A 10,857-nucleotide genomic window follows, 5' to 3' on the forward strand; every position below is an offset into this window, starting at 1 on the left:
GCTGAGAAGTACCGTCTCTCACTGGGGGGGTGTCGATATGCCCAAGGATCTACTACTGACAGAAAGGAGATAATTGATAGAGGTTCATAATTAGTGATCTCTACCACAACATACTTGCCTACTTATTTTTACAAAAGAAGATACCATAGCTTTTCAACCTGGTATCTATTCTCAAATTCTTCACTTAATCTGCTATAACTATAACCAAATTGGTGTATCCTCTAAACTTCCAGTTCTTTTAAATATGCAAGATGAATATATTTCACCCAAGTGTGTTAATATTTATGAGCTATTGGAGGCGTTAAGAATTATGATGTATTGTGAAGGTTGTCAGAATCAAAATGGAATTAAAACAATGTTAAAACAAAACAAATCTTAGCTAAACTAATGATAATCAAACAAAGAAATCCCAAAACCCAACAAATAGAGCCAGAGGACCATGAAGAGAGTTTTCATGCTAGTATGGCTGAAAAAAAAAAATCACAAAAGATGGCAAAAACCACCACCTTGCACAAAAGCCGTCACAATCTTACACATAAAAATATTCTGAAGATATCTTAGCAACTGCCTGTCCAACCTCAGATTGGTGTCATTCTTGTATTAATCTTTTCAGACAAGGATAATCATTTCAAAATAATTAGGTAAAACTCATTTTTCCTTTAAAACTTTGTGTTTCTTCACCTCCCTTAATATGCATATAGTTTATTATTGCATGCCTATTCCTATTGCAATGTTCTGTTCCCAAATATATATATTTTTAATTTTAGAGAGCTTGCTCTGTTATTTAGCCTGACAGTATAAAGATGCACTGTGAACTATAAAGTTCTAACTTAAATTAAAATAAGATATTATTTGAATATAGTAAAGGGAAACTATATCCTTTAAATACCATCATTCTAAAGCTGTCACAATTACGGTTAGGGCATTCAAAAATGATGTAAATGTTATATTCATAAATTGTCAAAAAGATAATTCAAAATAGAAATTATTTAAAAAATTTAAAGTACTACAACAATATTTATATCACAATTTAGCATTGTGATTTATGCATATAATCACATGCACATACAAACACTTAGATACACATGTATATTTTTCATGTAACATTGAATAAATTGTTTAAGACAACCCTTCCATTTTCCACATGAAGAATACTGGGGTTCAGAGATACTATGTAACTTGACCAGGGTAATTTAGCTGGTCAGGAACAGAATGGATACTATACAGTAATCCTCCCTGATATGCAGTTTTCACTTTTTGCAGTTTCAGTTACCTGCAGTCAGCCTACGTCCAGAAATATTCAATGGAAACTTCCAGAAATAAACAATAACTTTAAAATTGCAGGATGAGTAGCGTAATAAAATCTGACACCCTCCCTCTCCGTCATATTTGGGACTTGAATTATCCCTTTGTCTGGTGTATCCATGCAATATACACTACCTGCCTGTTGGTCACTTAGTAGCTGTCTTGGGTATCAGAAAGATTGTCACAATATCACAGTGCTTGTGTTCAAGCAGCCCGTGTTTTACTTAATAATGGCCACAAAATGCAAAAGTAGTGATGCTAGCAATTTGGATATGCCAAAGAAAAGCCATAAAATGCTTCCTATAAGTGAAAGGCGAAAGTTCCCAACTTAATGAGGGAAGGAAAAAAAATCATATGCTGAGGTTGCTGAGACCCAAAGAGATAATAAATCTTCTATCAGTGAAATTGTGAAGAAGGAGAAAAAATGTGCTAGTTTTGCTGTCACACCTGAAACTTAAAATGTTACAGCCACGGTGCATGGTAAGTAATTAGGTAAGATGGAAAAGTCATTAAATTTGTGGGTGGGAGACATGAACAGAAACATATTTCAAATGACAGCAATTGGGTTTGGTACTATCTGCAGTTTCAGGCACCCACTGGCCTCCTTGGGAGGTATCCCCTGCAAATAAAAAGAACTTCTACAATCTGTATTTCATTCTAATGCCAAAGATAAAGCTAAAACATTTATTTGCACTTTATAATGATGGAGCAAAATATTATTGTATTAATGAATCTTAGATTTTATTAAAATAAGAGTAAGATTACTACAATGACTTTAATTCTAAACATTGCCTCTTTGCTTTGAAGCAAAGATATTGAAATCTTCAGTTAAATTTAGGCAATTATGTAGGGTAAAAAAGCATGTATTTTACTATGTACCAGCTTAATTCATAATAATAAGATTTTCTAATAAAGTACATCATATAGAATTCCTAGCCTAGTGATAGGAAATGTATAATTTTATTAATTTTGTTAACTTTGCTAAATATGAGATGCCTAAAATTGGAACCATATCTTCATATGTTGCCATTGAAATTGAAAATAAATTTGATCCCTGATGAAATATTCACATTTTGTTCAGTTCAATGGAAATTAATATTGATTCATCATCTTTAGTACACTGGAGACCACATTAAAGTGTCAAACTACTAGCTTGTCATCTTCATTGACAATTAAATTTCCTTTAAAACAGAGATGTGGGAAATTGAATTTGTTCCTTGTAAATGGAAAAAAAAAAGATTGAATTGCATACTGATTCCCAGAATGATTGAATCCTTTCTGGATGAAACAGCATTAAATAAGATTATGAACAGGAGAGACTATTTTCTTTCTTTGATAATGTTAATGGATTGGATTTCAGAGTGATTGACAGAAGTTAAAGTTACTCCATTGGTTGGAAAACTAAATGGTGGAGACCTTATAGAAAATTAACAATTTGTTAAAATGCCTAGATTTGTACAGAGTCTTCTCCAACTTCTGGTTTTATAGCAGCAGAAAACCATACTAAACTCAATTCTTCAACCCTAGGTTGTACATTTGGACAGAGGAGAATAATATGCCATTGAGAAGGTTTCTGAATATTGCTTGCCCTTCCTCCTAAATCTGTAAAAGTAATGAGCAGTTCATACCTGTAATATGGTATTTCTGACTCAGTAAGCGCTTAAGGATGTTATAAGCATTCTTTGAATCCTGGGAAATATAAACATCAAGCTGGTCTTATCTGGAACCACTGAGTTCTTAAATGTGTTTGGCAAATATATATGGTAAATAGATGGGTATAATAAAAAAAGAGGATGACAAAAAAATTAAATCATTTTTATGAAATGTCTGTATATGACCAAGAAAAAAAAATCAAGCTTGGATCACTTTTGTGGAGACCATCACAATGCAGCACAAAAGCATTGATTTGTAGTTTTCAGCAAAGTGGCTTTGACATAAAATTGTGAAATAGACACTCTTCACCTCCCTTGATAATCCTTCACTATTTTATTATGAGTCCAATAAACTAACACTCTTTCTCCACATATACTTTTAAAATGTTTTTTAGTCATTTTGCTCCTATTGGCATGTAACTAATAACAGCTTTAAATTACACAGGAAGATTCATTTATACTCTGACACTCGAGGCCCCATGATTAATTCAATGTTAAGATACCTAGCATTATGTGTACCACAATATTCCCTACCCTACTGTATAAATTCACAAATCTTCTCTGATAGAAAAGACTTATGCACTGATATTCGCTATCCTATAACACTCAAATGTTTAGCAAATAAACTTTTGTCTAATATTTTCTTTAAAAATGTGTGCCAATCTCATTTTTTCTTTTTGCAAACTCTTCAAATTATATTGTGTAATATATTTTTCTTAAATCATTTTCCCCTCTACTCTTCAGATTTGATAACTTACATTGATCTGTCATCCAAAACATTGACATTCCTCCAACTGAGTAAAGTCCATCTACTTCAGTTTTAAAATTTTATTCTTATTTTTAAAATTTCTATTGTAAACACTTTATTGTATAAATTTTATGTGATTTGACATATATGTCATATATATGTCAATAATTTGTGTATCTACATATACACAAATTATTACTGCAGGTAAGAAATTCAACATATTTGTTACTTTCCATCATTACCTTTTTGTTGTTGTTGTAAGAGCACCTAAAGTCTACATCCTTGGCATATTTTTTACTATACAATGCGATATTATTAACTGTAGTATTCTTGCTGTACATTAGATCTCTAGACTACGTAATTTAAAGTTAGTGCTCTTTTATCTAATCTTTCCATTTCCTCTCATTCCCCACCTCTGATAAACACCATTCTACTCTCTGTGTTTTTGTATTTGACTTTTTTTTTTCAGGATTCCACATGTAAGTGAGATCATGATTTTTTTTTCCTGTGTCTGGCTTATGTCACTTAGCATGACATCCTCCACGTTTATTCATGTTGTTGCAAATGACAATTTCTACTTCTTTTTTAAGACTGAATAATATTCTATCATATAGAGTATAAAATCTAAAATTCATTTTTTCACTTAATTCTTAGAACACTTTTACATTTATAGAAAATTTACAAACATAATACCAAAGAGTCTCATATGCCCTGCACCCAGTTCCCCATAATGTGAACATCTTACATTAGTTTGACAGATTTGTCACAATTAACAAACAAATATTAATACTCAAGTATTAACTAAATTCCATATTTGATTAAGATATTCTCAGTTTTTACCTAATGTTGTTTGTTGTTGTTTTCATTCTAGGATCTCACCAAAGTTCTTGCATTGCATTTAGTCATTATATCTGCTCTTGGTTGTGACAGTTTCTTAGATCTCCCTGTTTTTGATGACCTTGACAGTTCTGAGTGATACTATTTGAATACTTTGTAGAATGTCCCTCAATTATTATTTGTCTGATATTTTGTCATGTTTATATTGGATTTATGTTTGTTTTTTGGTTGGAAGACCATAGAAGTAAGGTCAATTTTTTTCATATTATAACAAAGTAAATGCTATATACATGATTAATGGCTATTGATGTTGACCTTGATTGCCACGCTAAGGTAGTGTTTGTCAGGTACCTCCAGTGTAAAATTACTCTTTTTCCTCGCTGTCTATACTGTACTCTGTGGAAGGAGGCTACTATGTGCAACTCAAACACAAATATACACACACACATTAGTTTGTTTAATTTTCTGATTATTGACCATTGGAGAGCTAGCCTGGTACCCAATGGAAAAGATATTCTCCTAGAAAATGAGTTGAAACCATTTTTTTGTATTTACAAAATAATTATTATAAATAGCTTCTACATTCACGAGTGTGCTTGAAAATTGTTCTGTATAATCTTATTCTTCCATTTTCCTTTCATGTAAAATGAAACTTTTGTCAGAGAGTATGAAAATTACCTAATGACATATTTTTCTCCTATTTCTGTAGACTTCTTAAATATTTCTAGATTATTTCCATTGTTATTTCTGGACATATATTCAGATAAGGATCACACAGTGGTTGTTGTCAATGGTTTGTATATAATCGTATAACATCTTCTGTAAAACACAATCAGAATCTTTAAGCATAATCTATTAAAAAGAAAACAACTAAAAGTAAACAAAAGAAAAAATTATTTCCTCTTTTTTCCACATAACTTTTCTTTCAAGATTCTCAAGATTCTAAGCTGAATATGTCCGAATGAAATTACACTGACTTCCTTCTGTATCTATTTTATAACTTCATGCATCTTGAAATGCATTTTTATGTTCATTATTGAATTCATATCCGTGAATTTTATCTACCAAATATTTTATAGAACTGAGGAAGCATAATTTTAATGCTGATATGTGAAGTAGTTATCATTAACAATATTTTTAATAATGTGTTTTTAAGGTATTCCAGTCTTCTGGCAGGATGCAATCTTTAATCCTTTGTCCTCCATGAACTTCCTCCTCAGTAAGCTTCTCTTACTTGTTAAATTCCTATTAGGATGTCTACATGGATTCTTACAGAATGTTTTAATCACATCATTAATTAAACATCTAGACATTGATTTTACTCACTGTTTGATCTTTTACAGATCAGAACTAATTTAAAAAATTATTTCTAGAGCTACTGCATTGCTGTCTAGTGGAATAGATTTTATTGCAGATGGTCTAGAGACTTGACTGATAGATACAATCTGCCAGCATTGGCTCTTGAAGATAAGTGGTAAGGAAATAATTGCCTTCCTCCTTTAACTCTACCTCATTCACTAGCAATTCCTTATCCTGTATGAGATGACTTTACTTCCAGCTGACCTTGAGTGTATGGAAAATTTGAGAACTGCCTAGACATGGCACAAATGCAGAATACATGTAACCAATTAGTAGGAAACAAATATTAAAATATAAACAGGTAGGTGTTTAAATTAAAAAAAACAGAGAAAATCCCAAGAAATTTTTATAAATTAGAGTGAAAAAATTACCAAAAAATTTTTAATTTATCTCTTATCCATTTGACATTATCTAAGAAAGTTTGAAGGATTTTAAAGAGGCAAGTAATGGGATTAAATCTTCACTTGGGTATGTCAGACACATCAGCCACCCAAATGTCAGGAGTGACATTCCTAAGGTGAGATCATTGTATTTGTCTGTGGTAATTGTGCCCTTTATTCCTTCTCTTATTTCTCTCCACAATCCTTTCTTGCCAAAGCTGCTTTTATCCCCAGGGCCATGTCTTCAGTGTTCCTTCCCTCATTTTATAAGGAGAGGGTTTAGAAGATGGATCCTAGGTTCAGATGAGGATTAATAATTGTGTTATTTTAGCATTCATTGAGAAGATGTATTTGAAAACCTCTTCCAACAGTGATATTTCATTCATTTATTACTTGAATAGTTTCAGATAAATAATATCTGATAGAGAAACTTTTGGTAGTTTCCTTTTTTTTTTTTTTTGAGATGGAGTCTCACTCTGTCACCCAGGCTAGAGTGCAGTGGCGTAATCTCAGCTCACTGCAACCTCTCCTGGGTTCAAGTGATTCTCCTGCCTCAGTCTCCTGAGTATCTGGGAATACAGGCGCGCACCACCACACCCAGCTAATTTTTGTATTGTTAGTAGAGACGGGGTTTTACCATGTTGGCCAGGCTGGTCTTGACCTCCTGACCTCAGGTGATCCACCCGCCTTGGCCTCCCAAAGTGCTGGGATTACAGGTGTGAGCCACCGCACCCAGACTACTTTTGGTGCTTTCTAATGATACTAAAAGTATAAAGAAAATTTTCTTGGAAGTATGGAAATCACTGGACTTCTAGACAGCTTTTCTAGACAAGGAGAAGAGTTTGGGGGATGACAAATAATAGAAATTAACTTGTGCAACTCTTATTTAGGAATATAATAATGAGAGATTAAATAATAGAAAATATGCATATGCTTAATTCATAGTTACCATCCATACTTGATTAGCCATTTGTCATATCCATAATTTGAATTTTAGTTGCTCACATATTTGATGATCACAATGAAGCTTGATATTTTGCAATAAAAATAATAAAATTTGGGATTTAAGATTGTTCAGCTCAGTACGTTTCTTGTGGTCCCCTTTTATTCTCCTGAAACTGAGAGAATAAAAAGGGAGAACAAATAAACTTTTTAAAATCCTTTTTAAAAATTTCAACTTTTATTTTAGATTCAGGTTTGTTACATGGGTATATTGGGTGATGCTGAGGTTTGGCCAGGTAATGAGCATAGAATCTAGTAGTTAGTTTTCCAGCCCGCTACCCTACTTCTCCCAGTAGTCTCCAGTATTTATTGTTCTTGTCTACATGCCAACGTTTGGCTCCCACTTATGAGTGAGAACACATGGTGTTTGTTTTTCTGTTCCTGTGCTAATTTTCCTGGGATAATGGTCTCCAGCTGCATCCATGTTGCTGCAAAGAACATGATTTTTTTTATGGCTGCATAGTATTCCATGGTATACATACACCTAATTTTCTTTACCCAATCCACCATTAATGGGCACCTAACTTGATTCCATGTCTTTGTGTTTGTGAATAGTGCTTCAATGAGCATACTAGGGCATGTCTTTCTTTGGTGGAATAATTTATTTTCCTTTGGATATATAACCAGTAAAAGAATTGCTGGGTTGAATGGTGGTACCCTTTTAAGTTCTTTGAGAAATCTCCAAAATACTTTTCACAGAGGCTGAACTAATTTACATTCCCAGCAACCTTGTATAAGTGCTCCCTTTTCTCCACAGCCTCCTCATCATGTTATTTTTTGACATTTTAGTAATAGCCATTCTGACTGGCGTGAGATGGTATCTCATTATGGTTTTGATTTGCATTTCTCTAATGATTAGTAATGTTGAGAACTTTTTCATATAATTCTTGGCTGCATGTATGTCTTCTTTTGAGAAGTGTCTGTTCATGTTCTTTGCCAAGTTTTTAATGAGGTTGTTTTATGCTTGTTACTTATAGATTCTGGATATTAGACTTTTGTTGGATGTATGCTTTGCAATTATTTTCTCCCATGCTGTAGGTTTTGTGTTTACTCTGTTGATTGTTTCTTTAGTTTTGTAGAAGCTCTTTAGTTTAATTAAGTCCCATTTGTCAATTGTTGGTTTTATTGTGATTACTTTTGAAGACTTAGCCATAAATTATCTGCAAAGGCTGATGTCTGGAATATTGTTTCCTTGGTTTTCTTCTAGTAGTTTTATAGTTTGAGGTCTTACATTTAAATCTTTAATCAATATTGAGAAAATTTTAATATATGGTGAAATGTAGGGTTCCAGTTTGGTTCTTCTGCATATGGTTAGAAAACTATCCCAGCACCATTTATTGAATAGGGAGTCTTTCCTCATTGCTTATTTTTGTCTACTTTGTTGAAGATTAGATGGTTTTAGGCCTGTGGCTTTATTTCTAGGTTCTCTATTCTCTTCCATTGGTCTGTATGTCTATTTTTATATTATTACCATCTTTTTTATAGTAACCTTATAGTGTAGTTTGAAATCAGATAGCGTGATACTTCTGGATTTGTTCTTTTTGTTTAGGGTTGCTTTGGCTTTTCGGGCTCTTTTTCAGTTTCATATGAATTTTAGAACAGTTTTTTTTTTAAATCTGTGAAAAATGGCATTGGTTGTTTAATTAGAATAAAATTGAATATGCAGATTCCTTTGGGGGCAGAATGGTGATTTCAATGATATCGATGCTTCCAATCCATGAGCATGGAATGTTTTTCGATTTGTATGTGTCACCTATGCATTCTTTCAGCAGTATTTTGTAGTTCTTCTTGTAGAGATCTTTTGTCTTCTTCATTAGATGGATTCCTAGGTGGTTTTTTTTTTTTTTGGCTATTGTTAATGGGTTTGTATTCTTGATTTGGCTGTGAGCTTGAATATTATTGGTGTATAGAAATCCTACTGCTTTTTATACATTGATTTTGTATCCTAAAACATAACCGACGTCATTTTTCAGTTCTTGGAGCCTTTTGGTGGGGACATTATGGTTTGCTAGATATATAATCACATCATCAGCAAAGATAAATAATTTGACTTCTTCTTTTCCTATTTAAATTCATTTTATTCCTATATTTTGCCTGACTGCACTGGCTAAGACTTCCATTATTATGTTGAATAATGAGTGGTGATAGTGGGCATCCTTGTCTTGTTCCTGTTCTTAAGGAAAATGCTTCCAGCTTTTGCCCATTAGTATGAGGTTGGTTGTGGCTTTGTCAGAGATGGCTGTTATTATTTTGAGGTATGTCCTTTGATGCCTAGTTCATTGAGGGTTTTTATCGAGAAAGGAGACTACATTTTATCAAAAACTCTTTCTGCATCTATTGAAATGATCATAAGGTTTCTGTTTTTAATTTTGTTTATGTAGTGAATCATAATTATTGATTTGCACATGTTGACCTAGGCTTGCACCCCAGGAATACAGCCTACTTGATTGTGGTGAATTAACTTTTTGATGTGCTGCCAGATATGGTTTGCTAGTATTTTGCTGAGGAGTTTTGCATCTATGTTAATTCAGGATATTGTCCTATAGCTTCTCGTTAAGTGTTAAGATTTTCTAAATTTTCACCATGTTTACCATTCTTCCCTAAATAGGCTACTATCAGTCTGTTGTCACAAGATGTTTTATAAGGAAATAAAATCATGTTATGAGCAAAGGGATTCAGATATGAAATGCAAGGCCAATAACTGAAGAAGTTATAAAATAAGAGTTTACCCATTTTCAATTTTTTGGCCTAGTCACATCAAAGGGAAGGATTCTAGGACAAGGTTCGTTAATAGTTTGTTTTTTTAGCCAGTTCATCTCTACTGGGACCCTCTAACATCCATACTATATTTTATATTATTTCCTTTGTGTATGTGTGTGTGTGTGTGTGTGTGTTCACCTTAACATAGAAAATCACCGTAACATAGAAAATCTTTAGGGGATGAGAGCTGGGAAGGTAGAGAATGCTATCTAACCCTCTCACCGTCCTCAACAAATTGTGTCTACTCTAGTTTTCCTAAGGTAAACAGATTTGGGGACTTTAAAGACAGGAAGAGTTTCCCTAATTTCTCTGCAATTATGCTATTATATCTCTTTTCTGAGACTACGGAAGCATAATGGCTGAGCAATAGGCTAAGGTAGGAGCAAATGAAGTGAAGAGGGAATAAGAGCTTTATTTAAGTTTCAAGCCCATTATTCTGTTACATATATCTTTCTTTTCTAGTAGTGCTTTTCATATAAAAGGTCCTCATTAAACATTTGGTGAGTGAATGAGTGACCTGGAATGAACAGTGCCTGTACATAAAGTCTGAGGTGACCAGGACACCTTCCAATTTCAGAAACTACTATTAGGCAGCTGTGACCCTTGAAAGACTGTGGCTTCAGCTGGAGCTCATATAAATTCAGCATGTTAAAGAATATTAAACTTTTGTTGTTGAATATTCAAAAGTATAGCAAGTTGTTAGAAATGGCCTGAAATTTATTTTTGTTTATAAAAGTGTTCCCAGCTTTAAAATGAGCTGTTCCCAAAATTAGTGGGGCAATTTTGGTGAGATTATATTCATGAGGCCTTACAC

Source organism: Homo sapiens, chromosome 7 (assembly GCF_000001405.40).
Source record: "Homo sapiens chromosome 7, GRCh38.p14 Primary Assembly".
In the NCBI taxonomy this organism is placed as follows: Eukaryota; Metazoa; Chordata; class Mammalia; order Primates; family Hominidae; genus Homo; species Homo sapiens.